The 27,950-nt window shown below is 43.1% G+C and overlaps 3 protein-coding genes across 5 annotated transcripts in view, besides 2 other annotated features; 1 reads left to right on the top strand and 2 right to left on the bottom strand.

The window, feature by feature from the left end:
• The window catches only part of HSPA14 (heat shock protein family A (Hsp70) member 14), a 33,436-nt gene extending 24,645 nt beyond the window's left edge, over window positions 1-8,791 (bottom strand). Inside the window, exons 1-3 of the mRNA NM_016299.4 lie at window positions 8,638-8,791; window positions 7,112-7,192; window positions 6,940-7,022 (exon numbers count right to left, since the gene is read on the bottom strand). Of these exons, the coding sequence (NP_057383.2) occupies window positions 6,940-7,022; window positions 7,112-7,192; window positions 8,638-8,694 (221 nt within the window). The 5' untranslated portion in view covers window positions 8,695-8,791. The remainder of the gene's footprint in view (window positions 1-6,939; window positions 7,023-7,111; window positions 7,193-8,637) is intronic.
• Window positions 98-8,791, bottom strand: MSANTD7 (Myb/SANT DNA binding domain containing 7). 2 transcript variants are annotated; one of them, NM_001378785.1, is made up of 5 exons: window positions 8,638-8,791; window positions 7,112-7,192; window positions 6,940-7,022; window positions 4,251-4,963; window positions 98-3,726 (listed from the first exon to the last, which is right to left on the bottom strand). In NM_001378785.1, the coding sequence occupies exons 4-5, from the start codon at window positions 4,810-4,812 to the stop codon at window positions 3,203-3,205; spliced, it is 1,086 nt and encodes a 361-aa protein (NP_001365714.1). In that variant the 5' UTR covers window positions 4,813-4,963; window positions 6,940-7,022; window positions 7,112-7,192; window positions 8,638-8,791; the 3' UTR covers window positions 98-3,202. The 2 variants fall into 2 exon arrangements, with proteins under 2 accessions (NP_001365714.1, NP_001365719.1); NM_001378790.1 differs by lacking the exon at window positions 4,251-4,963.
• Window positions 8,508-8,747: an enhancer, noted in NCBI's record as "active region_3085". NCBI's record gives its function as "activates an Ori minimal core promoter by ATAC-STARR-seq in GM12878 lymphoblastoid cells {active_cell/tissue: GM12878}" and the evidence as "EXISTENCE:reporter gene assay evidence [ECO:0000049][PMID:35858748]".
• Window positions 8,898-9,007: a silencer, noted in NCBI's record as "silent region_2163". NCBI's record gives its function as "represses an Ori minimal core promoter by ATAC-STARR-seq in GM12878 lymphoblastoid cells {active_cell/tissue: GM12878}" and the evidence as "EXISTENCE:reporter gene assay evidence [ECO:0000049][PMID:35858748]".
• Window positions 9,060-27,852, top strand: CDNF (cerebral dopamine neurotrophic factor). Of its 2 annotated transcripts, none has more exons than NM_001029954.3 (4): window positions 9,060-9,265; window positions 18,825-18,952; window positions 21,477-21,618; window positions 26,939-27,852. In NM_001029954.3, the coding sequence occupies exons 1-4, from the start codon at window positions 9,151-9,153 to the stop codon at window positions 27,115-27,117; spliced, it is 564 nt and encodes a 187-aa protein (NP_001025125.2). In that variant the 5' UTR covers window positions 9,060-9,150; the 3' UTR covers window positions 27,118-27,852. The 2 variants fall into 2 exon arrangements, with proteins under 2 accessions (NP_001025125.2, XP_011517790.1); XM_011519488.3 differs by having other exon boundaries at window positions 21,477-21,645.
• Window positions 27,853-27,950: the final 98 nt, after the last annotated feature.

Genomic DNA, 27,950 nt, shown 5'->3' with positions numbered 1-27,950 from the left:
GACATGCAAGACCCTTAGCAGAGGAGAAAGCAAAGCAGAGAATGGAGGCAACAAAGGACCACAGACATCATCACAAAGTAGTGGACTGACCCACAACTACATACAAGTGAAAACTTTATTTGTCCACACCAGGATTACCGAACAGAAAAACAAAGGTGGTGAGAAGTTGGTATACATAGCACCTTATTTACATGATGGACTTGAGGAGGCAGTTAATCCTATGGTTGTGTATCACAACCTTTATTAGCAATGCCATCTTCTCTTCCTCCTCCTACTTGAATATCCCTTACGGTCAACAGCCCACGGGCTTGGCACACACCAGCACTAATGTGCTCCAGAGTCTTTCCCCTACTTGTTACATGACAGTGCCTTACATGTCTGAAAGTGCTCATACATTCATCTGTTCCTTTGATCCTCACAACACCCCTGTGAGGTAGGTAGGACAATTATGAGTTTCCCACTTTATAAATGAGGAACCTGAGTTATGGAATGCTGGAAAAGCTTTTCTAAGGGGGTTCAAGTAGTAATGGTTGGGTCTACCACATAGGCAGATTCCTGGCTTGCTTTCTTGCACACTGTCTCCCTGTATTCCAATTTCCCTCCCCTTAATATTTTTAGCCTATTTTTCTGTGTACTTATTCAAGACCTTTCCCTTGACTTTTATTCCCACATTAGGGTTACTTTACCCATTGAATTTCACAATACCACATCCAAATATTAATTCCAATGCTCTTCTTCAGCACTCCTTTCATCTCAAAGAAATCCCTGTCTTATGCACTTTGCTACCATTAATAGATTTATAGAATACAGGCCTAACTCTCCGTCAAGTACTTCTGTGTTTCCAGAAAATCTACCTACCTACCTACCTACCTATAATTGACACATATCTTTCCATATAATAGCCTAAGACAATTGAGAATGAATATAGCTGTATCCATTTCAATGCCTTAAATATATGCTCTTTTAAAGTAAAGAGTCTATATGTCTGGTGTGGCACTTAGAAGTTCATGAGCATATTAATAAATATTAATACCACAGAATGCTACCTTAAAATTGTTACCAGTATTTCAAATATACATATGCTGCTGTGACAGAAAATATTACAATTAAAATTTCGTTTTCATTTTGTCTTTTATTATGCTATTTCAAATTTTTTTAGAGCTGGAAGGTACTAGGAAAAAAAAAATCTAATACAAATCCCTCAATCCGGAGATAAAGAAATTGAGGCATGAATTGGCTGGGCACGGTGGCTCACGCCTGTAATCTCAGCACTTTGGGAGGCCGAGGCAGGTGGATCACCTGAGGTCAGGAGTTCAAGACTAGCCTGGCCAACATGGTGAAACCCCGTCTCTACTAAAAATACAAAAATGAGTTGGGCATGTTGGCATGCACCTGTAATCCCGGCTACTCGGGAGGCTGAGGTTGCAGTGAGCCAAGATTGCACCACTGCACCCCAGCCTGGGCAAAACAGTGAGACTTTTTCTCAAAAAAAAAAAAATAATAATAATAGAAAAGGGCAAGTGATTTGTCTGATGAAACAAACTGTGACAGGATTCCAATCCAGGAATTCTAACTAGATTCCAACATATTCTACCACACCAGCCGCCTCACACCTCCATCCCTGGCTTGGCAGAGCAGCTCGCTTGCCGTCTACTCATGGTTCTGGGTACGCTCCCACTGCTGCTCTGACCATTTCTCCACCTATGTCCATTTCCAGCATTTAGCTAAGCACTCGAGCCTGCAAGATAGAAAATAAAACCTCCCCCAACATGCCCACTCTTTGTTATTTTTCCAACTTCTAGATTATTGGAAAACTTTTTAAATCCTAAAGATTCCTATTTGTATTCCTAAAAGTACTAAGTAAATCACTAAAAGCTTTAAGTTAGTTTAATGACAGAGAGTAATGTCTTCCCTTCTAGAGTAAATCGGAAGTGTGGCTTATCACCTTCATCTCTCCCCAGTGTGTGTCTGGGGTGTGGAGGAGGCTCATCTGTTCACGGCTAGTGCTTAAAAGGAGTCATCTATTGCAGGCAATCTTTATCCACACCATCCTCTAGTGTTCCCAAAGTTAAAGAGGAAACAAAGCTGTTCTCTTCCACCAGATGCCATTAACTACATAAACTTCTGTCTACAACATCTGAGGAAAAGGAATCTTGGAAAGCTCCTCAAAAGGAAACGTTTCTAGGGCTTGCCCTGTATAACATACTAGACAAAAAAATAACAGAAAAGAATGAAATCAGCTAAAAAGCGGATGGGAAACTGATATAATCTGAATTGTTTCCACAATGTTCCAATGGCAACCGAAACTTAAAGATGTAATTTAGGCATATAAAGGGACCCAAATAATATGAAATGCAAAGAATTTACATATATTTAATATTTTATAAAATGGCCAGTATTTTATATTGAAGATTATCGATATAAACCGTAACACACAATGGCGGCTCCCTGGCACTTCTTATTTCCTTATATTGATAGGAGACTAAGAACCAGTAAAATGAAGGAGAGAAAGACGGTTTGACAAAACAGTGCTTACTAGTAGATATGTCAGATACACAGCAGTGGAAATGTAAGAGATTAAGGTACAAATACAGGTTGTGCTTATAGTCGTCTAATGAGCCACACAGGGATTTTAAAAATTAAGATTTCAAACTCCATGAAGCAGTCAAGTTAGACCAGCAAAGGAAAGATTCAAGCAATGAAGTCACAGTATATATCCATACTTCTGTATCTTGTAAACCAATCTGCCTTACCTCAGCCAAGGCCATATGAATTAATAACTTAAATGTGTACAGTGCTTTTAAACTTTTAAACCCTTTCACATCTATGAACTACGTGATCCTCACAACAACCCTGTGAGGTAGGCAGGGCAGGAGTTATTATTGATCCCCATTTTACGGATGAGGAAACCACTGGAGGGAGGTAAACTGCTTCACATCTGTGACAAAGCTAGGATGAACCAGCTGTCTAGAACGTGGCTCCATCGTTTTCTATTAGGTCACCCCTGGCATTTCTGAAAGGTCTTCCATTTGGTGGAGAATCTTGGGAAAATGAACTAGCAATTATTTTCATACTATCTGGATATAAATGGTTCATCCATGTTTTTTTCTGAGGACACAGAAAAGGAGCCAGGGATTCAGAAGGCAGGTTTGGGAACTAGACTTCTACCAGTTTAGGAAGCAGAGCCTTTTGTAATTGGTTCCTAGCTTTTGGTATTCGAAATCAACCTCTGAAGCAATTTTTCAAGGCCTAGCTGAAAAGCACCAGTTGCCTCTTCCACTGCTGTTGCCAAACGTCTGACTGCGATGACAGCATCCCTGCGGAGCTCATTGGCAGTATCTTGCTGAGCACTGGCCTCCTCACCAATAGCAATCAGCCTGTCCAGTTTTTCTTCCTCCCGCTTTGAGAGTTCTCGTGCCAATCGCCTGTTTTCTGCCAACTCGGCTGCGATAGTCCTGGCCACTGACCGCCTTCTTCGCCTTGCCCACCTTGGAGGGGGCTCACTGGTCAAGGGCCTATCCCCACCAGAAACAAAACCAGCTCTCGAAGAGGAGACTGGAGTCTGCGGTGTGGAGGCTACCCCAGGAGTGCTGCGGTTGGTGCTGGTGCAGGGGCTGGGCTCCCCGGACACACCCAGTCTGGCCATGGGGCTGCTCTGACAGGGAGCAACTGCACCTCTGAAAAGGCTGTGGGAGCTGCTGTAGCTGGGGGTCCCTTGAGAGCACCCTGAAAAACAAAGCAACAATGTTGCAAAGAGAACATTCCTGCTAAGGGAATGCTTGGAGCCAGCAGCAGAGCTGAGACAAATTATAAAACTATGGTTGTTCCTGGAAAGCCTCTTTCCACCAGGGACTGGGAAGAATCCATTTCCTTAATCTGGACAATTGTGACCTGTTTGATTTCACCTCTAAAACTTCTCCCTTGCCTTCCTGAACCCCTTTGTACATAGCTATCCAACCCACTCTAGACCTACAATTTCCTGACTACCAGTTATTAATAATGCCAGAACTAGTTTGGTTCTAGAGAGCACTTCTAGGTTTAAAGGGTTCTAATACCTTATGTTGCCAGGGGCATAGCTTTTGAAAACCTGGAACCCTTTAGCTTACTATTAGGTTTTTGAAAAGGTGCGTGGGGCAGAATGAGGCAGAAACAGGAACTATGCTGAAGAGGACACTATCCAAACAGACACAGCTAAATGTTTAGAGCCACAAGACTCTGGGACCCAACTCCTTCACATGCTTGGGAGTTACCTGCACCCGAGGATTCATCCCAGGAGTCCTCAAGGTCACTGGTTTCTCGTATCCGGTCACTGATTCTTAGCTGACAATCCTCATCTGATGCCTTAACTGTTTTCAAGATAGGCTGATGATCAGCTGCCTGAGTCCTTTTTGATTTTAGAATGCCGGTTCCCTCTTCCCCTGGGGCGTCAGAGGCCACTAAGTTCTGATCACAGTGCTTGGCCCAAGCAGCATCCTCCATTAAGTTGTCTGGGTCAGTCACTATCTGATTTCGGAGAAGCTGATCCAACGTATCATAAAATGGACAGTGTGGTGGCTCACCCATACTTGTGGCATGGGCAACATAGGCCTTTAAATATAATGCCTTCAGAACTTTAAACTTGGAGCGGCACTGACGTTCGGTGCGGCGGAAGCCCTCCTGCTGCATTCGCTTAGACACAGCCTGATAGACATCTGCATTGTGATGCACAGTCTGGAGGCGCTGAATATACTCTGCCTCGCCTAGTATGGAGAGAAGAGTTCGTGTCTCCTGTCTGGACCACCGGATGCCCGCACTGCTATTGGCACTGGCCATTGTGGGTTGGAAAGGAGGGCTAGGCAGCTTCTGGACAGCAAGGTGCAAGTCTGAAGGTGTGGGGAAGCTCTGTGTGCTCTCAGGATATCTCCAGGATCTTCCCTCTCAGGGATAATTGCTGAGAAGCCAGGTCCAAGGACCGCATTTCTGGCTGGAAGGCCACAGGGGAATGAGAGTTACAGGAAGGGTGTAAGGATAATTTTGGCAGCAAGTTAAGTGGTGCTACCTGTGAGTAGGTCATAAACAGGCATGAGGCCAAGACTGAGATAGCCCAACTTTGGGAGTTCACCCAGGGTAGACACGGCACCAAGAACCTAATGGCTTGGTAACAAAAAGGCCAAATGCTTTCATGGCTGAGAGTTGGTACAACAATGGATCTGTAAAAATCACCCTTGTCTGGTGAGTAGATGGGCTGGGAGGGAAAATCACCTGGACCATGAGGCAGCTAACGCTAAAGGAGTCCAAGCATGACCACGGTATAGCAATCTGAAAGATGCTCAGTCTTTACTAATCACAGCACGCTGTGGCTCTGTGTTACCCATCTGACTGTCAGTGTGGGCCAGAAAAGTGAGTTTAAGTTGCTCTGCTAATACAAATTTTTTTTTTGCACAATATGGCAGAAGAAAGCCACATAATTACTCTAACCATGTGCCCTCAAACAGCAGCATAAAACAAACAGTAACATATTGTTGGCTACCAGGGGAGAGATCTATGGAAATGTTCTGTATCTGGACTATATCGATGTGAGCATCTTGGTTGTGACACTGTACTATAATTTTGCAAGATATAACCACGGGGAGAGGTGGTGAATCCAGCAATGTGTTTGATGTCTCTGTATTATTTCTTACACAGCAGCATGGGAAACTGCAATTCTCTCTAAATAAAAAGTTTAATTAAAAAAATCATATTGTTGGCTGCTCAGTGATTTGGGCTTGAAGACCCATCTACGATTCTTTTTTCTAGACTTTATGATCTGAAAATATTTGACACCAACTTATATTTAATATGCTCGGTACTAAGTTTTATCAATAGGTAAAAGGATATGGGGATGTATTTATTGTCACTGAATATTGAATTCTCTCCAAACAACTATAGTTTTTGGCTTAGTGCATAAGTATCCTGAGGAAAAAGATTAATATCAAGTTCAATTTAATTGAACACAGGTAAGAGACAGAAAATAAGATAAACAGGTAAGAGATACCTGCATAAATTTAATCTATAATATCCAATTCTAAATCAACACCAGGACATTTTTACTTAAATTCTCACTAAACAAAGTTGAAAGAAAAGAACCTGGGGCCGAGGGTGAGGAGACCTGATCTGCAGTCTTACCCAGTTTACCCCCTAGGATAATGCCACAATTTCTTTGTACCTTGATTTTCTCATCTATAAATGGGGAATGATAGTATTTGCGTTGCCAATTTTACAAGGATGTTGAGAGAATTAAATAAAATAATAGATGTGAAAGCACTTTGAAAATTTAAAAACACTCTATCAAGTATTACTACAGTAGTGAAAATGAAAACCCCTAATTATTATAGCAATCTATAATTTGAGGAGACAGAAGTCTGGGGAAGCAAGCCTGTTTTAATCTTCTAATTAAACTTACAACAGATGATTAATCTGATTCTTACATAAGACGTTAATTTAGCTGTTACTCTAATGATTAAATTTGTAAGTCAAGTGGAAAAGTTCGTTCCCAGAAAGTGTCACAAAAGATCCTGAGGAAGAAAATCAATAGTGTCTACATAAATTACGAAAAATTGTAATAGATTCAGCAAAATTCAACCACATTGTCAATAAGTCTTCAAATTCCCACAAAATCTTTGAAATCCTCTCAGTTAAAAAAAATCTAAAAATGTGAACAATCCAAATTACCACCTCTGACGCAAATTACCAAATTGACCTGTCAGCAAGAAACTAACATCTGAGTGAATCCCATATCAGAGAAGATCCAACACTAAGAATCAAAAGACACTGCCTACTGGGGGTACTCTCTGTAATGACTCAGTCATAAAAAGCAATGAAGAAACAAACTATGCTGTTTCTAATTTCTTTTCACATTATGCTTAGAATTTATGAACATGTTCCTATTACCATATTTAAAAGTATCATTTGATTCCATACCTTCTGCCCAGGATCTGCTTTACTTTCATTACTGTATTTGAAATATTTCTTATTCTACTTTGTTTTGCTGCCAATCCAACAATCTGAAAAAAAAAATAATATATATATATATATATTACAATGTATGTAATTTTAAATTATTTCAGAAGTACAAAAATGGGGGGACTAGTACCTCTTCATTTTCTGAGTAAGCAACAACAGCTGGAGTAACTCGGTCACCGGCATCATTTGCAACCACACCAGCCCGGCCATCCTAGAGAAAAAAACACGAAATACATAGTCTCATTAGACGTATTCAGACGTGTGCATTTGTGCACCAGTGTTACTTTGCCATCTGTGTGGAAAGAAAAACTGCTATCTCAATATTTTAAACTTGCAAATTTAATTACCATTTAATTTCCTCGTTTTCATAGAAAGCCTATAATTCCATGAAGAACTGCCTCATGTTTTCAGTCTGCTCTGCAAAGTCAACAATTGAATCAAAAGTAATAACAACCTTTCTACACACAAAACGAAGGCTATTATTACGTTACCTTTCCTACCTCTCTTCCTTCTTACCATTACCATTTCTTTTTTTTTTTTTTTTGGACACGGAGTCTTGCTCCGTGGCCCAGGCTGGAGTGCAGACTGCAGTGCCAGATCTCGGCTCACTGCAACTTCCGCCTCCCGGGTTCAAGCCATTCTCATGCCTCAGCCTCCTGAGCAGCTGGGATTACAGGCGTTCCCGGCTAATTTTTAGTATTTTTAGTAGAGGCGGGGTTTCACCATGTTAGCCAGGCTGGTCTAGAACTCCTAACCTCACGTGATCCGCCTGCCTCGGCTTCCCAAAGTGCTGGGATTACAGGCGTAAGCCACCGCGCTGGGCCCCTTTCTTCCCATTTCTACAAATGAAGTAGTATTATTCCCTTTGGCTTTTCCTAACAAGTCATTTGACATTTAAACGCGGGACTAGTGGCAACGGAGTTCATGATTATCGTTTCTTCTGCCTCCCCACTGATGAGAGAAAGGCCACAAGTCCTGTCAGGCTCTCACTTCCAGAAAGGCCACCTCTGTAGACCACGCACCATCAACTGGCTTCACAGCCAGGCAGCTTTGCGGGACCATCAGCCCCAGCTCGACTGCAGCCTCCCCGCCCCTCCGGGACCTAGACGTTCGGGCCCAGCTCAGCGCGTTCTGCGGCCCTGCTGTCCCAGAGACCACCGCCTCCAAGTACCTCGCGGCCACAACTTTCCCAGGACCTCCCACCCGCGGGAATCCTGAGGCCCTGACGTCAGCGAGACCCCTTCCGGCATCCAGAGGCCAGGACGTCCCCGTGACCTCCCCCAAAATGCTCGCAGCCCCGCCGTCCCCGGGACCCCCCGGGACACCCAGCGGCCCCGCTGTCTCCGGGACCCCCCCGGGCACCCTGCAGCTACGTCGTCCCTGGGACCCCTCCGGGCATCCCGCCGCCATGACGCCCTGGGACCCCGCGCGTCTACATCGCCGCGAGCCTCCGCCGCGGAGTAGACGACTTTCCGGAGGAATCGCCAGGCGCGAGGCCGGGCCTGCCCGGCCCTTCGCTCCGGAGTGTCCTCGCGGCAACGCCACTCCACGACATCCCTAGGCCGGCGACACGCCGCTCTCAAGCCTGTGGATGACCCAGCGCCAGAAAACCGGGTGGCCGTCATGAAGCCCTAGCCCAGCTCCGCAGCCCCTCACCTTATAGACGGCCACACAGGCTGAGGTGCAGCCCAGGTGAACTCCGATGGCCGCCATGAGGCAGCAGGGACGGCAGCGGCAGGAATGAGGGGGTCCCCCAACAGCAACAGCTACCGGCCGCCCAACGGCCCCATCAGGCACCGCGGAGCTTCACGTTCCCGCCAGCCCCCTGCGTCCGGTCGGCCGCTACAGCCTCCCGCGTCGCCGCCAATCAGCGTGAAGGTTCCGCCTTTCTTCACGCGCAGTCCGCGAGTAGCTTCAGCGCGTCTCTGCGCTCCGCGGAAACTGCACAGTGCGCACGCGCAACCGGGGAGGGACGGGAAAAGGCTCCTACACTCCGCCCCCTTCCTATCCCTTCCTTGAGAGCCAATGGAAACTCTGTGTTCAGTTGCGTCATTTGTCCTGGCAACTACTGGCAGATTCTTTCCAACCTCGAATTCTGCTCAGCTCGCTTTGGCAGCTTGGTGGGCGGTGGGCGCGGGTGGCGGAGGCGATTGAAGCTGCTGGCCCAGCATGTGGTGCGCGAGCCCAGTTGCTGTGGTGGCCTTTTGCGCCGGGCTTTTGGTCTCTCACCCGGTGCTGACGCAGGGCCAGGAGGCCGGGGGGCGGCCAGGGGCCGACTGTGAAGGTGAGCGGTGTGACAACTGCTTGCATGGCGGCGGCCCCGCGCTGCGGCGCAGCAGCTGTCGGCTTTGGCTTCTCCTGGCCCTGGCTATAAATAACATTCCGCCCAGGAAATGCAGGCCCTGTCCCTCGTTTTAGATCGCCCAAGCCCAGCTCGAGTAAAAAGCTCAAGCCGGGCCTGGTGGTAACGTGAGGCCACGTTGTGGTTTTGCTGTGAATATTAAACTTCAGCAGTAAAAGCTGGTGGGTTTGTATTTGGATTAGAGTTTGTGCAAAGAATGCTAGATTCAGATGATACTGGCGCCAGATTGATTCTGCTGCTTCCAACCAGCAAGATTTGCCTCCCCTTGCACAGAAGACGTCTTTCAAGTCCAAGCTAGTTGGTGACTCCCCAAAGGAAAACAAAACATGGCATTGAGTTGAGTAGCTTAAATCAGAGGACATAGCTAATATTTGTTAGGACTCTGTAGGTGAAAATTGCTTTGCAAAGGAGTACACTGACTCCTTGGGAAAGAGAGGAATACAAAAGAGTGGTTCCTTTTTGTTCACGGTATCTCAGCTGTGAACTCGCAGTCAGAATACGTGAGTCTGTATCCCACCAAGTCCCCTAGCTCTGAGACTTTGGTTTTTGCAAAATCAGCGTACTTCACTTTAGAGATCTGTTAGCAAAGGCAAAGAAGGTAAGTGGCTATGCTAGCCCCTTCCTTCTGGACTCCTGTAGCGCTCACTCCATGTTTTACTGAAAATAATTAGTTTAAATGTATATGCCCTCAGCTGGAAAATATATCCCTAGTGAACAGGAAATTGTAGGTTCATCATATATGTTGAGTGAATGGATGGGTATAGTCGTACTAAAGTTGTGTTTTTGTTTGTTTTGTTGTTTTGTTTTTTGTTTTTGTTTTTGTTTTGAGACAGTCTCACTGTGTTGCCCAGGCCGGAGTACAGTGGCACAATCTTGGCTCACTGCAGCCTCCATCATCGGGTTCCAGCGATTCTCCTGCCTCAGCCTCCCAAGTAGCTGGTACTAAAGGCACCACCACCACGCCTGACTAATTTTTATATTTTTAATAGAGATGCAGTTTCACCATGTTGGCCAGACTGGTCTTGAACTCCTGGCCTCAGGTGATCGGCCCGCCTCAGCCTCCCAAAGTGCTGGGATTACAGGCGTGAGCCACAGCGCCCAGTCCTTAAAGTGTTAATAATTGGAGCCTGGCTTTCTATGAGCTCTGCAATAATTAAACTTTTCTCCAGAAATTTAAAATATCTACATGTTATTACTCGATATAAAGATATTTGTTTAGCTAAGTTATAATTTTGCTCCAAACCATGCTATAATTGTGTCCTATACTTTTAAAACAGACTTTGTGAGGCAAAGACAATTGATTTGATGACTCATCTGGGGCTCCCACTTATAAATGTTTCAAGAGAGACAGCATCTGGATTAATTAAATGGGAAGCTTATGCTGTCTGTCCTAAATTTATTACAGCATGCTGTGATTATTGCATGTCTGACTAACCTGTCTATATATTTCATTTGTTAGGTAAAGAAGCTTGTGTAATCGCAGAGGAAGGACATAACAGTTTGGTAACTAAAAGAACCAGATTCTGCATCCAGCTCTATTACTGCTTATGAGTGATCCTCCCTCCTCAGCCTCCTTTCTTATTTACAACTTAATTTCTTCTCAATGTATAAGATTAAAATGCCATATTATACATACTCTAGAGCGAAGGCAAAAAAACTGAATGGTTCCTGAGCCGTCTCGGACCTATTGATATGTTTCGTTACATTTACAAAATATTTTGAAAAAAATTAAATTCACTGGGTACATTTTAAAATTGGGAAATTTTATGTAAAAATTCATATTTCTGGCTTTTCTCAAAAAACCAGATGACCTGGCAAGATTGGCCTTATGGCTGTATAGTAGAATTGGCTATTGGCTGCTCTTTTTAGAAAGGACTTGGGTTTTGAGTAGTTTGCCGCCCCTACTCTGCCCCCGATTCAAATTGCTTAACTCTTCTTTTTCCTTGCCTGGCCCCTGTAGATATTCAAGTCTGTGAGTCCTATTATTAGGTAATGTGAGGTTTACTGGAAAAACATAAATATTTCCAAATCTCTTTTAAAGGATTATATTATGGGACTATTTTAAATAACTTTTTATTTTAAAATAATTATAGATTCACTTATAAAACTATCTTTAATAAACATAAAAGCACAATATAAATAAAAGAAGTATGGCTATCTGAGGTTATTTTAGCAATAAAGACATCCCAGAAAACTTAAGAAGCTACTAATTTGTTAGGGCATTTATGGTGAGGTTATTCTCTTCATGTAAGTCCAGAAAATGAGTTTCCTTTCTTACCTTGACTTCTTTGTGGTGTGTGACACCATTGACATCTTTCCCTTTCAGAGACTGCCTTCTCTTCATGGTCATGATACTGCTTTTCTCCTTCCTGTCTCTATGCCCACTTGTCCAGTGTGTCTTTGTGGGCTTCTGATCCTCTAGCCATGGCTTAGAATTTTCCAGGGTTCTGCTCTCTTCTCTTCTCTCTTCTCAGTCTACACACTCTTCTTGGCAACCCAAACCAACCTACCTCCAGTCTAATAAATCTCTAACCTTATATCCACTGACCTTTCTAGAGTCTCAGACCTTGCATCCAATTGACTAGTGAACATGCCCTCTTAGATATGATGTACATCAACATCAACACAGTCAAAAAACCAAAGTCATCATCTCCTTCCCTTCTCACTCCCCTAAACCTGTTACTGTCATGCTTACGGTGACAGCATGGGACAACTACCTGGTCACCTAGCCTAGATTCTAGACTTCTCTTTCCCCCTTATCCCCCAACCAATCACTACATCGTTGAGTCTACCTCCTGACTGGTCCTGCTCCTTTCTCCTTACTCAAGTCTAGGACTTCCTTACAGAACTTCAGCAGTTTTCCCCTCCGCATTGTCAAAATAGCATTCTTCCTGCTACCTGTCTCCCTCCTGTCTAGTCCCCTGGCAGGGCTATCATATTACTTCCTTATTTAGTATCTTTCAGCAGTTTCCCAGTTTCCTCCAGGTGCCGCTCCTTTGTTTTCCCACAGTATCTGATACACTTCTCATATTGTTTTGGTCTCCTCTGAAAGTCAAGGCAGTGTTTCTCACCACCTCATGTCCAGCAGCTACCATAGTGCATGGCATATGGTAGGCGCTCAGTTTGTTGAAGAAATGTATGCATATATGCTGTGATAAAATTTTGGGTATATTTTAGTGAGTCAAATGTAGATCTTGAAAAGGACAAGTTAGTATTCCTAACTTTCATCACCTAGATGATACATTGGCAGAGTGATAGTTGAGGTATAGAAATCATATGAAGGTATACTGTGGGAAATACCACAAGAGTGATGAGGCACTGGAATACTGGGGGTTTCTTTTGTAGGAGACAAGAATTAGAGGCTCCTAGGAGACTTTGATGATAGTTTCTTTTTCTTTTTTCTTTTTTTTTTTGAGACAGAGCCTCACTCTGTCACCCAGGTTGGAGTACAGTGGAACAGTCTCAGCTCACTGCAACTTCCGTCTTCCAGGCTCAAGTGATCCTCCCTCCTCAGCCTCCTGAGTAGCTGGACTACAGGTGCTTGTCATTACACCCAGCAAATTTTTTGTATTTTTAATAGAGATGAAGTTTCACTATGTTGCCGAGGCTGGTCTTGAACCCCTGAGCTCAAGCGATCCGCCAGCCTTGGCCTCCTAAAGTGCTGGGATTACAAGTGTGAACTCCCGTGCCTGGCCTGATGATAGTTTCTGCTGACTTGTAGCATTAATCATTACAGCAGGTTTCTGCTTTGCATACTGGATATATTTGCTAATTAAACTCAGCAAAATACATGTTGAGAGGGATCTCATTTTCCACGTGTAATATAGCAGATCATTACACATTCCTTTTAACACTGTGTTCACTTGCCTTTTGGAATAACACTCAGTCTTTGTTCTTATCCTACTTCACTGGCTGCTCCTTTCCGTCTTTTTCTGGTTGTTTTCCATCTTCCCAATTGCTAAACATTGGGATTTCACAAGGCTGAGACCCAGGACTGTGTCTCTTTTCCGTCTCTCCTTACTTTGTGTTCTCATCTCAAAAACACCATTTGAATGTTGATGGCTTCCAGATTTATATAGTCATCCTAGATCTTATACCTGATCTTCACATTTCTATATCTAGCTGCCTTCTCACTGTTTCCAGTTGGATGTTATATTAGTCAAGGTTCTCCAGAGAAATAAAACCAATAGGACCAAACAGAACATATAATCTATATCTATATATCTTCTTAATATCTGTAATATTTATCTATGTAAAAAGAGATTTATTATAAGGAATTGGCTCACAAGATTGTGAAGGCTGAGAAGTCCAAAATCTGCAGTGTGGGCAAGCAGGCTGGAGACCCAGGAGAGCCTGTGGTACGAAGGAAGTCTAAAGGGAGTCTGCTGGAGAATTCCCTCTTCGTCAGGAAGGCTGGTCTATTTTGTTCTGTGCAGGCCCTCAAGTAGTTAGGTAAGGCCCACCCACATTATGGAGGCCAATCTGCCTTACCCAGAGTTCATCAATTTAAGTGTTAATTTCATCATTGCTACATAAAATTAACCATCACAGACGTCTAGAAGCATCTTGAACTTCATATGTCAAGACTGGATTCTGGCCAGGCATGGTGGCTCATGCCTGTAATCCAGCACTTTGGGAGGCTGAGGCAGGCAGATCACCTAAGGTCAGGAGTTAGAGACCAGCCTGGCAAACATAACGAAACCCCATCTCTACTAAAAATACAAAAATTAGCTAGGTGTGGTGACATGCGCCTGTAATCCCAGCTACTCAGGAGGCTGAGGCACAAGAATCACTTCAATCCAGGAGTTGGAGGTTGCAGTGAGCCGAAATGGCACCGCTGCACTCCAGCCTGGGCAACACAGCGAGATTCTGTCTCAAAAAAAAAAAAAAAAAAAAAAAAAGCAAAAAAAGAAAGATTAGATTCCTGCTTGTCACCATAAACTGCTTCTCCTGCAGTCTTCCTCATTTCAGCAGATGGCAACTCCACGGTTCCAGTTTCTTGGCCAAAATTATTGGGATTATCTTTGATTCCTCTCTCTCTCCCCAACTCTGACACATTACATCTGGCTTATTAGTAAATTCTTTTGGCTCTTCCTTCAAGATAGGTCCAGAGTGTAACCACTTCTCATGACTGCTGTAGCTACTGCCCTGGTCTAAGAGATGCAACTATTTTGAGAACCTCTAAACTGGTCAGCTGGTCTCCCTGCTTTCTTTTCTGCTTCCTTGTAATCCATTCTTCAGACAGCCTTCAGAGACATCCTTTATGAATCATGTCGGACCATAACTCTTCTCTACTCAAAACCTTAAATGGCTTCCCTTCTCAGAGTGACATCCAGAGACCTTACCAAGCTTGAAAGGCCCTGGATGCCCCAGCATGCTGCTGCCTATTTGATCTCATTTGCTACACACCTCCCTCTTGCTCCCTCTACTTTAGCCACACTGGCCTTCTGGCTGTTCCTTGAAGCCACCAAGGACACTCCTGCATTTGAGCCTTGGTACTTGCTGTTCCTTCTGCCTGCGGAGTTCTTCCTCAAGTCATCCACTTAAATTGTTCTTCCACTTCCTTCAGGTGTCTGCTTGAATATCACTTTATCTAAGAGATCTTTCCTAACCAATCCATTAAGAATCGTACTATTACCTTGTCACCCTCCATCCTCCTTACCATGTTTATTTTTCTTCTTTGCTACGTATACCTTTACTTCTATCGGATGTAACTCTCAAGGGCAAGTTCTTTGTTTTCTTCATTACTGAATCTTAGGAACCTAGAATACTGTTTTGCACTTACTAGTCGCTTAGTAAATATTTGTTAAAAACATGAATAACTGGCTATTATGTTTAGTATTCTGTTCATGTTGATAGCATTAGAAATAAAAATATATGGGCTAGGCACGGTGGCTCACACCTGTAATCCCAGCACTTTGGGAAGCCGAGGTGGGCAGATCACCAGGTGAGGAGATCGAGACCGTCCTGGCCAACATGGTGAAACCCTGTCTCTACTAAAAATACAAAAACTTAGCTGGGTGTGGTGGCACACGCCATTAGTCCCAGCTACTCAGGAGTCTGAGGCAGGAGAATTGCTTGAACCTCAGAAGGTGGAGGTTGCATTGAGCCGAGATCACACCACTGCACTCTAGCCTAGGCAACAGAGCGAGACTCCATCTTGAAAAAAAATATATATATATATATGTGTGTGTGTGTGTGTGTATATATGTATTATATATGTGTATATATGTATTTTATATATATGTATATACAGTATATATATGTGTGTGTATATATATATATATATATGACTTTAAGCTCTAAAAGATGACATGATTGGCCAGTCATCTAAAAGCAACTGAAAATACTGGATAAAATAAAAATGTGAAAATATTGTAAAGTATGAGTTGGGAAGGCATACCCAGAAGCCAACCACAGAGTGGAAGTGGGAGTCCAGGGGGTTGAAGGGAGCACTGAAGCTGGCTTTACCTGGGAGCATTTGTTAGCCAGGTGATCTGAACTGAAGTTTTCATGGTTTTGGCTAAATAAACACAAGTCCCAGGCATTTCCAAGTTAGGAGAGTGAGAGCAGATCCTCTACCAACTAATTCAGGGCCCCAAAGACCTAGCCCTTCATTATAAAGGGTGAACTGAAAGTAACTACAACCTATTTCCATCTTTAGAGACTAAAAGAAATGGTTTCACTTGAACATTTTTACTGATAAAAGGAAAAACAAAACTTTCTTGATAACTCATAATTACAAGCTCGTGCACATAGGTAGGGGTCAAAGGCCCCATTCACACTACTAGGATGATCTGAAACATCTCGAACTGATAATTTAGTTGAAAGTGATTTTAAGTAGATCATACCCTCAGGAATCAGCAAATGTGAGTCTTGTTTTTGTTTTTGTCTTGTTTTGTTTTTTGAGACGGAGTTTCACTCTTGTCGCCCAGACTGGAGTATAATGGTGTGATCTCGGCTCACTGCAACCTCCGCCTCCCGGGTTCAAGCATTTCTCCTGCCTCAGCCTCCCAAGTAGCTGGGATTACAGGCACCTGCCACCACTCCTGGCTAATTTTTGTATTTTTAGTAGAGACGGGGTTTCATCATATTGGCCAGGCTGGTCTCGAACTCCTGACCTCAGGTGATCCACTCACCTTGGCCTCCCAAAGTGCTGGGATTACAGGCATAAGCCACCGTGCCCAGCCAGCAAATGTGAGTCTTACTTACAGGAACCCACATTCAACCTAGTCCTCAAAGAATTCATACAGTTAAAGTTCTAAGAAATAGAGCTGCCACTTAGAAAAGTCATGAACCCCTAGGGAAGAAGGGCACATAAGTGAGAGCCAGCTGGAACAAAAAACAGAAGAGGCACACCCCTGCAGTGGCTTCAGGTATTGGAATAATCAGGCATAGAAGTTATGTTTTTTTATGTTTAAAGAAACATAGAACATAAACCGAACCCATCCCTACCCATAGGGGACTATAAGGAAATTTACCTTGACACTGAGCAAAGTAGAAAAAAGAAAAAATATATATCTCTGAGAAATGATAACAACAAAACGTCCCTCACTTGTATTTGCAGCCAAAATTCACATCGGGGCCCAAAAACTTCAAGCTATATATTTAGTTTAAAGCAGTGCCTGGCTAGTTGCCCTTAGTCCCTGAGAAATACAAATACAAATCCTTACTGGAAATAATGCTCCTTCATCTCAGGCTTCAAACAATCTTCACAAATAAGTTTTGAGACGTATGAGTATCGTGTGGCGCAAAATAAGCAAGCACACAAAGAAACGAGGCACCAGGAACAAGAACCTATAGAAACAACAACAAATAGAAACGTACTCTGGGCCTGATGCAGTGGCTGTAATCCCAGCGCTTTGGGAGGCCGAGATGGGCAGATCACTTGAGGTCAGGAGTTTGAGACCAGCCTGGCCAACATGGTGAAACCTCGTATCTACTGAAAATATAAAAATTAGCAGGGTGTGGTGGCGAGCGCCTGTAATCGCAGCTACTTGGGGGGCTGAGGCAGGAGAATCACTTGAGCCAGGGAGGCAGAGGTTGCAGAGAGTTGAGATTGCGCCATTGCACTTAAGCCTGGGTGAACAGAGCGAGACTTCGTCTTAAAAAACAAACAAACAAACAAAAAAAACTCTGAAGACTTCAGATATTGAAATTTTCACACACAGATCATAATTAAGTTTAGTGTGTTTAAAGATATAAAAAACAAGCTTGAAAGTATCTTCAAGATATAAGGAACTAGAAGAAATGACCTAACAAGCCTCCCATTTTAGCCTCCTCAGTAGCTGGGACCACAGGTGTGTGCAGAGACAGAGTCTTACTGTGTTGCCCAGGCAGGTCTCAAACTCCTGGCCTCAAGAGATCCTCTCGCCTTGGCCTTGCAAAGTGTTGGGATTACAGGTGTGATCCACTATGCCCAGCCTGATTTCACTTTAGGCTCATAACGATGGAAATAAAGACTTATGCAGATCACCAAGGGGCTTCATTCAGGATTCTTATTCAGGTTTTTCTCTGTGCTTACAATTATGCTGTCCCAAGATGATAGCCTATTTTATTTTAGGGTTAGCCAAATTTTGTGGAAAAGTTATCATTTTAGGTAGAACTTCGTTCCAATGATTGATTGATTCAATATGCTGTTACAATGTGTCCACTGCATTTAGGCCCAATACTAAACTAATAGCAACAGGCCTGAAATCATTCTTTTTATTTATATTTTTAATTTTCTTGAGACAGGGTCTCACTCTGTCACCCAGGCTGCAGTGCAGTGGCTTGATCATAGCTCACTGCAGCCTCCATCTGCCGGGCTTAAGTGACCCTCCCACCTCAGCCTCTCGAGTAGCTGACACGACAGGCATTCACCATCATGCCTGGTGTTTTTTTGTTTTTGTTTTTTTGTGTTTTTTTTTTAGTAGAGACAAGGTCTCACTATGTGGTCCAGACTGGCTCCAAACTCCTGGGCTCAAGTGATCTTTCTGCTTCTGCCTCCCAAAGTGCTGGGATTACAGGTGTGAGCCACCATGCCTGGCCCCCAAATCATTCTTACTTAGCATTGGAATCCACTGTCATGAAGCATTGACTCATATGGACGTTTCTTTTTTTGTGTGTGAGATGGAGTCTTGCTCTGTCGCCAGGCTGGAGTGCAGTGGTAAGATCTCGGCTCACTGCAATCTCCACCTGCTGGGTTCAAGTGATTCTCCTGCCTCAGCCTCCTGAGTAGCTGGGACTATAGGCACGCGCCACCATGCCTGGCTAATTTTTTGTATTTTAGTAGAGAGAGGATTTCACCATGTTGGCCGGGATGGTCTCGATATCCTGACCTTGTGATCTGCCCACCTCAGCCTCTCAAAGTGCTAGGATTACAGGGGTAAGCCACCATGCCCAGCCCCATATAGACTTTTAAATGTGGTTAGTGGGTCATATGCATAGGTGTGGTAGTGGTTAAGTTGTGCATGCAGACATATTTATTTGTTCCTTCCAGTATGTAAAGAATTCTTGAACCGATTCTACAAGTCACTGATAGACAGAGGAGTTAACTTTTCGCTGGACACTATAGAGAAAGAATTGATCAGTTTTTGCTTGGACACCAAAGGAAAAGAAAACCGCCTGGTATAGTAAATTTCACCTTTCATTTTCCCCATGTGCTTGAAGAATACTGCTAATAGTTTCATTTCTTAGACGTGAAGTCCTCCTACTTACATGTTTGCCTCAAGTATGTCCATTTTAGAGCACGCAGCAAGCAGAAATCCATCTTCCAGTGACATGTAGTTCTGCGTGTTTTCATCCAGAATATTTCCAGTGTTACTTTACTTTCTGAGTACACCACAGATAACCAATTCTATGTTTTCTTTTTTCTTTTTCTGAGACAGAGTCTTGCTCTGTTGCCCAGGCTAGAGTGCAGTATCATCATCTCAGCTCACTGCAACCTCTGCCTCCTGGGTTCAAAGCATTCTTGTGCCTTAGCCTCCCGAGTAGCTAGGATTACGGGTGTGCACCACCACACCCTGCTAATTATGTATTTTTAGTAGAGACAGGGATTCACCATGTTGGCCAGGGTGGTCTTGAACTCCTGACCTCAGGTGATCCACCCACCTCAGCCTCCCAAAGTGCTGGGATTACAAGAATGAGCTACCATGCCCAGCCCAATTCTACGTTTTCTTAAATGAAATTATGAAACTGAATTCCCAATAAGAATTTAGCATCCTAAGAGTGGGTGGGCTTTCCATTTCTTACCAAGACAATTAATCAAACTTATCAAAATATTTTACATTATTATTTATACATAATTAATAAAGTATTTATATTTTCTTCTAATCACATTAATATGGTGTTTCCTGGGCATACACATATGGCTTGTTTCAATATACTGTTTTATATCACTTAAGACAATTTGGGGCCAATTCCTTTTTCCCTAAAATTGTCAGATTGTCAGTTACATCTGCATGTTGGCTGTTCACCATGGCCATGTTGTAAAGCTCATGCCATTTATCCGTATCATTAAGGTCTATCTATCTATATTTTTTTGAGACAGGGTCTCCCTCTGTCACCCAGGCTGGCGTCCCAGTGATCTTTCCTCACTGGAACCTCAACCTCCCAGGTTCAAGTGATCCTTCCACCTCAGCTTCCCAAGTATCTGGGACTAAGGCACATGCCACCATGCCCAGATAATTTTTGGATTTTTTTTTTTTTTTTTTTTTTTTTGTAGAGACGGGGTTTGGCCTTGTAGCCCAGGCTGATCTCGAACTCCTGAGCTCAAGTGATTCACCCGCCTTGGCCTCCCAAAGTGCTGGGATTACAGGTGTGAGCCACTGTGCCCAGCCAACGTTTATATTTTTAAATGTAAAATTTTGAAGTCAGGGAGCTTGAATGTCAGAATTGCCTGATGGGAAAAGACATGGGCTCTAGAGCCAAAGTGCTGGGTTTTATAATTCTGTCTCTTCTATTGCTAGATCTGGGGACCTTCAGTTGGCTTGGGTATAAAATACAGATACTAATAGTACTTATTTCACAGGATTGTTGTGAGACATAAATAAGTTAATACCTTTAAAGCACTGAGAGCAGCACCTGGCACAGAGAAAACACTTAGTGTCAGCTCTTCTCATTAGTCTTTTAACACCATGTGAATTGTAGGGCACATCTAATTAGGATGATCACGAGAATGGAGTCACTTGTTTCCTGGTGGCTTAGTCAGCAGGTTAACCTCTCTTCTTCTTTCTTCTTCTTCTGCTTCTGCTGCTTCTGCTGCTTCTTTTTCTTCTTCTTCTTCTTCTTTTTCTTCTTCTTCTGCTTCTTTCTTCTTCTGCTTCTTCTGCTTCTTTCTTCTGCTGCTTCTGCTGCTTCTGCTGCTGCTGCTGCTTCTTCTGCTTCTTCTTCTGCTGCTGCTCTTCTTCTGCTTCTGCTGCTTCTGCTTCTGCTGCTTCTGATTCCTCCACTTCTGCTGCTTCTTCTGCTGCTGCTTCTGCTGCTTCTACTGCTTCTTCTGCTGCTTCTTCTACTGCTTCTTATGCTTCTTCTGCTGCTGCTTCTGCTTCTGCTTCTTCTTCTTCTTCTTCTTCTTCTGCTGCTTCTGCTTCTGCTGCTGCTTCTGCTTCTTCTTCTTCTTCTCCTTCTCCTTCTCCTTCTCCTGCTTCTGCTGCTGCTGCTGCTGCTGCTGCTGCTTCTTCTTCTTCTTCTTCTTCTTCTTCTTCTTCTTCTTCTTCTTCTTCTTCTTCTTCTTCTTCTTCTCCTTCTTCTTCTTCTGCTTCTGCTTCTTCTGCTGCTTCTTCTTCTCCTTCTTCTTCTTTTCTTCTTCTTCTTTTTTTTTGAGATGGAGTCTCACTCTGTCACCCAGGCTGGAGTGCCCTGGCATGATCTTGGCTCACTGCAACCTCCACCTCCTTGGTTCAAGCAAGCACACCTGGCTAATTTTTGTAGTTTTAGTAGAGATGGGGTTTCACCATGTTGACCAGGCTGGTCTAGAACTCCTGACCTCAAATGATCTGCCCTCCTCAACCTCCCAAAGTGCTGGGATTACAGGCGTGAGCCACCATGTCCAGCCTACCTCTTTCTTCTTGATACTGTATTCCTTCATTACTGGAATGATACTGAATGTCTTCATTGTCTGGAACACTCAATTCTCTTCATTTTCCTTCAGTGCTATTATCTAGGAGCCACAAAAGACGCAGCCACAAAGATCCTAAGTGAAGTCACTCGCCCAATGAGTGTGCATATGCCTGCAATGAAGATTTGTGAGAAGCTGAAGAAGTTGGATAGCCAGATCTGTGAGCTGAAATATGGTATAACACAGCCCCGTGTTTTTCCCAGTAGGTCCAATGGATTCCCAAACCTCTAAAGTTGGGGCCATGTCTTCTAAAAATTCAGTGTTAAAAGGAAAGAAATTCACCACTCATCAATAAGTTGCTTGGCTGATGAATGGTACCTATGGGCATTTGAGTTTCGTTGAGGGAAGACAAATAAATAGTACAGGCATAATCAGCATTAGGTTAAAATTGCCAATGAGGCCTGGCGCGGTGGCTCAGGCCTTTCATCCCAGCACTTTGGGAGGCCGAGACGGGCGGATCGCAAGGTCAGGAGTTCAAGTACCAGCCTGGCCAATATGGTAAACCCTGTCTCTACTAAAAAAATACAAAAAAATTAGCCGGGTGTGGTGGCGGGCAGCTATAGTCCCACCTACTCGGGAGGCTGAGGCAGGAGAATCGCTTGAACCCGGGAGGCAGAGGTTGCAATGAGCCCAGATCCCGCCACTGCACTCCAGCCTGGGTGATAGAGCAAGACTCTGTCTTAAAAAAAAAAAATTGCCACTGAAATCACAGAGTTTAGACTCCTAACACACCAAGGCAAAGCCAGATACGTATGTCAAGGAAAATCTCAACATATAGAGAGAGCAGCTACTCCTGGTGATTTGGATCTTGGTAATCTATTAAAACAAAACTAGTACCTATTCAAAGATGATACAAGGACTTTGAAGATGTAAAGATGACTATGACTTCCTTCCTAGGCAGAGCTACCATTCTGCCAGCTTTAAATTTTGGGAAATTGGTTATTCACATCAAGTCAGGTTTTTCCTGGTAAAATAGCTTATCAGAGGGTGCCCAAAACAAACAGCAAGAAAAGGAAGGAGATGTCCTTTTTTTTTTTTTTTTTTTTTTGAGGGGAAGTCTCGCTCTATCACCCAGGCTGGAGTGCAGTGGTGCGATCTTGGCTCACTGCAATCTCTGCCTCGTGGGTTCAAGCGATTCTCCTGCCGGAGCCTCCCGAGTAGCTGGGATTACAGGCATGCACCACCACGCCTGGCTAATTTTTGTATTTTTATTAGAGACGAGGTTTCACCATGTTGGCCAGGCTGGTCTTGAACTCCTGACCTCAGGTGATCCACCTGCCTTGTCCTCTCAAAGTGCTAGGATGACAGGCGTAAGCCACCATGCCCGGCCAGGAGATGTCCTATTTTAAAATGTTATCCTTGGCCCCATACATTTCACATGGATAGATCTTTTATCATGATTTGTATCTGGGCTAGACATTTGGGTAGATTGAGTGGGTATCATAAAAGGATGTGGAATTCCTTCCTCAGCCTATCCTTGACACCTGAAATCCCACTCATTCCTTTTGCTTAAGTCATTGTTTTGCATGCATTACATACCCAGTGTAGTACTGTCAACTACCTAAGTAATTAGCATCCACCTCTAAGTTATTTTAGTCTTATTTTCCAACACAGCCGTGTAATAGTCCTATGCACCATAGCCACATAGCTAGCTTTAAGTAGGTTTAAGGTTGAAAGTTACCACAGACAACCTATTTCTTAACTTGCAAAGCACAAGCCCTAACTTCCAGGGTAGTTATTAGAGTAGGCATCCCTTTTTTATTGGCTTCCAAGCCATGAAATAGGGGCAGAAATCACTGAGTCCATATAAACAATATTCACAAACTTGGCCGGGCGCGGCAGCTCACACTTGTAACCTCAGCACTTTGGGAGGCCAAGAAAGGAGGATCATTTGAGCCCAGGAGTTCAAGACCAACCTGGGCAACATGGTGAAACCCTGTCTCTACAAAAATACAAAAATTAGCCAGGTGTGGTGTTGAGCGCCTATAGTCCTAACTACTCAGGAGACTGAGGTGGGAGGATCACCTGAGCCTGGGAGGTCAAGGCTCTGGTGAGCTGTGATTTTTTTCACTGTACTCCAGCCTGAGTGGCAGAGTGAAACCCCATCTGAAAAATAAATAGATAAAATAAAAATAAATAAAAGCCAATATCACAAACCTCTTTTGATTTTTTAAATTCAACAAATTTGTTGTGAATACCTTCTCCTATATCCTAGGGATCTTACAGGGCTCCTTAAACAATAGAAAAATCAGATATTATTGAGACGAAATGACTACCTAATGTTTTGGCGATGCTGGCCACTAGAGGCCCTTGGGGAGCTATGAACTAGTTTTAATCTTTGTGTGGACCTTTACTTTGGAGTTTTGGGGCATCACAGAGGTTTTCCTCTTTTTAAAATTAATGCCAGATACCAAGTTCTCTAGAAAAACTCAAAGAAACTACTGACATTTACAAAAAAATGTATTTTTCTCCTTCAGCCTCTTATCTTGAATAGACTAATAGTTCTTAATTATCCTCCCCAGCTATTGTTAGCAGGAAAGATAAGATTAAACAGGGACCTTTGTGCTGTGGGAGATTAATAATTTGGGCTATGCAAGTTTCTACTTTAAAAAGTATTCTGTCAGATCAGCCATGAAATTAACAAGCAAGATAAGTGTGGAGTTGGAGTATGTTTTCAATTAGGAAGGTGCCATTTGGTTTTTGACCTGAAAGAATGTTTTCATTTGCTTGCTTTGTGTTTAAAAAGGATAGGGAATCACTATAAAAATTTAAGGGTTTTCTGGAGCACAGTGTATAGCTGACCCTCTAAATACAAAAGTCTTTTAACATCCAGCTTTTAAATTAGAACAGAGTTACCGGAAGGTTTTGACAAATAATTTGACAAATATTAGGTTTTTAATGTTTTTAAATGTTGTGTTCTACTACTCAGAGGTAAAAAAGAGAAAGAACTTTCAAGAGAAGTCAAGCTGTAAAAATTCTAGGCTGCCACTAGTTGTTTAATAAATAAACTTAAATGTTGTATTCATTATCAAAGTGAACACCGGACAAGCGGGGAGGGGCAAAAGACACTTTTTTTTTTTTTGACAGTCTCACTCTGTTGCCCATGCTGGAGTGCAGTGGCATGATCTCTGCTTACTGCAACCTCAGCCTCCTGGGTTCAAGAGATTCTCCTGCCTCAGCCTCCTGAGATGCTGGGATTACAGGTGTGTGCCCCCATGCCCCTCTAGACTTTCTTTTGAAAGAGGAAAAGTACCTCTTTCTGATAGGAAAATTATAATTATTGGTATATTACAGATGAGCTTATTATTTTTTGTATTTTGGGCTTTTTTTCAATCTTTTCAGCAATTGAGAAGTAGCTGAGTTCTTGATATTTTCTGCACATAATCTATAAACAGCGAAATAGTAGTCTTGCTAGAGGAGGTTAGATGTTGGTGACAAGTATCATTGGCAAGAATTTTAGAAGCCAGGTTGGCTGGCACCAAAGCCCTAGCATTGGAGAAGTGGGAATAACACAAAGGGCTGTACCTGCTGTGATAATTTAGCAACCTAATCCCAGTAGGGGCTGGGCATCAGGTGAGTTTCAAAACAGAGATCCCAAACAATTAAGGTTCAGCGAGAATATTCCTAATTTTATTCACGTGTTTGCATTTCTTTACATTTTTATTTAAAACCCAATAGTGCTTTGTCATGTGTATGTGCTCATTTGCTTTGCCGAAGATACATCTTCCTAGAAAAAGTGAACCATAACTTTTTGCTGGTTAATTACAATCTATGGGTTTCAAGTTGGCCGCAAACCAAGGCCATCCCAAAGGAACCGATTGCCTTTTATATATGAGTTTCCTTCTTGTTACCTTAACAGCAGCAATTTGGATACAGTGCTATTTGTTTTAGGAATACTGATCTTGAGAATGCTCCAAATGGTAGTAAACATTGTGGCACTACATAGGCCCTTAGTTTTGAAGCAAGTATAATCTCTTGGAAAGAAAGTCAAATTAAAAACACAAATTATCCCAATAACTTTGTATACACTGTTGTCCTTCAGTACCTGTGCAGGAGGGGTTCTGGGACCATACTCAGACACTAAAATCCTGATGCTTAAGTGTTTGCATATAACCCATGTGCATCTTCCCTCCTGTATACTCTAAATCATCTCTAGATTACTTATAATACTTAATACAATGAAAATGCTATTTGTATTAGTCTGTTCCCGCATTGCTGTAAAGAACTATTGGCCAGGCGCGGTGGCTCACGCCTGTAATTCCAGCACTTTGGGAGGCCGTGGCAGGCGGATCAGCTGAGGTGAGAAGTTCAAGATCAGCTTTGCCAACATGGCGAAACCCTGTCTCTACTAAAATACAAAAATTAGCCGGGCATGATGGTGGGTGCCTGTAATCCCAGCTACTTGGGAGGCTGAGACAGGAGAATCGCTTGAACCAGGGAGATGGTGGTTGCAGTGAGCAGAGATCATGCCACTGCACTCCAGCCTGGGTGGCTAAGCGAGACTCCGTCTCAAAAAAAAAAAAGAAAAAGAACTATCTAAGACTGGGTAATTTATAAAGAAAAGAGGTTTAATTGGCTCACAGCTCCACAGGCTGTACAGGAAGCATGGCTGGGGAGGCCTCAGGAAACTTAGAATCATGGCAGAAGGCAAAGAGGAAGAGGCATGTCTTACGTGACTGCAGCAAGAGGAAGAGCGCAAAGGGGGAGGTGCTACACTTTGAAACAACCAGATCCCTCATGAACTCACTCACTATCATGAGAAAAGCTAGGGTGAAGTCCACCCCCATGATCCAATCACCTTCCAACAGGCCCCTCCTCCAACAGCGGGGATTACAATTCCTCGTGAGATTTGAGTGGAGACACAAATCCAAACCATATCATTGTAAATAGTTGTTATACTGTATTGTTTGTATTTTTTTTTTGAGACAGAGTCTCAATCTGTTTCCCAGGCTGGAGTGCATGGCGTGATCTCGGCTCACTGCAACCTCCATCTCCCAAGTTCCAGAAATTCTCCCGCCGCAGCCTCCCAAGTAGCTGGGATTACAGGCATGCCACCGCCATGCCCGGCTAATTTTTTGTTTCTTTTTTTAGTAGAGGTGTGGTTTCACCATGTTGGCCAGGCTGGTCTCGAATTCCTGACCTCAGGCAATCCTCCCGCCTCAGCCTCCCAAAGTGCTGAGATTACAGGCATGAGCCACCGTGCCCAGCCCTGTTTGTATTTTTTAATTGTTGTAGTGTTATCTTTAATTTGTTTAGAATATTTTTGATCTGCTGTTGGTTGAATCTGCAGATGCAGAACCCACTGATAGAGAGGGCTGCTGTACCACATTTTCCTTGGGTGTGTCTTGGTTTCCATGGAAACTGGAATTCTTCCCTGCCTTGGATCATAGGGTAGTCAGCACCAAGATAAGCAAACTATATGCCTTTTGAAGTGATTCATAGGGATTTTTTTTCCATTTATTTTGTAATTGGCTTTTTTCCTTTTTGCCATTTAGAAAAAACACTGGACTTGGCATCAGTTGACCTGCGGAAGATGAGAGTGGCAGAGCTGAAGCAGATCCTGCATAGCTGGGGGGAGGAGTGCAGGGCCTGTGCAGAAAAAACTGACTATGTGAATCTCATTCAAGAGCTGGCCCCCAAGTATGCAGCGACACACCCCAAAACAGAGCTCTGATCTCCAATGCCAGCACATTTGTGACTTGTAATTAGAGAGAAAAGTGACTCTCTAGGATATGGACATGTTGATTAAGGATAACTGGGAATGCATCATATTTGGTCTCATGCTTTTTGTGTTGGTATTATTCCTCAGAATTTTGTTACGTGGGTTTATGAGTGAAACTAATACTACTGATAACTTACATTTGCAGTGTACCAAAAGCTAAAAGTTCCTTTCTCATAAGTTTCTTGGAATGACTATGCCAGTTTTCATTGCCTGTCTCCTAAAAGTGACCTACTGACAAATTGATGGAGTAAATTGATTCCAAGAAAGAAGAAGGCATTCAGAGACTCCTCTCTGGATGCAATTTTAAAATATATTGGACTAAAACAAAAGACACAACAGTCAGCTTATCTAATGCACAACTTCAATCCCAAATACAGAATCAAAAGTTTTTTTCAAGTGAATTTTCTGTTTTCACTCTATATTGTAGCTCTCTTTGGTATCAGAAATGGTCAGGCAGGAGTACTCGTTTTTCCCATTGGAAGAAAACCCACTTAAACCTACTTAAAGAAAATAGAGAGATCAAGAAACCGTATAAGTATAGCCAATGTTTGGCAATTATATCAACATTTACATTGTTAATTGAACCAAGCTCAAGGTCTTTTTCATTCCTTACAGTCACATATCAGACAAGTTTTTGATGGAAGATTAAAGCATATTAAAAACACTCATAGGCAACTTGGAACTTTACCATTGTTAATGCTATTTTATCAGCTTTCGGTTGTAAAATCATCTTTGGTTCCATTTTCTGGCCACATAAGAATAAGAAACCCACAGTAGAAGTGTCC

The sequence above is a fragment of the Homo sapiens genome, chromosome 10 (genome assembly GCF_000001405.40).
Source record: "Homo sapiens chromosome 10, GRCh38.p14 Primary Assembly".
NCBI lineage: Eukaryota > Metazoa > Chordata > Mammalia > Primates > Hominidae > Homo > Homo sapiens.
This window is presented reverse-complemented; position numbering and strand designations above follow the sequence as displayed.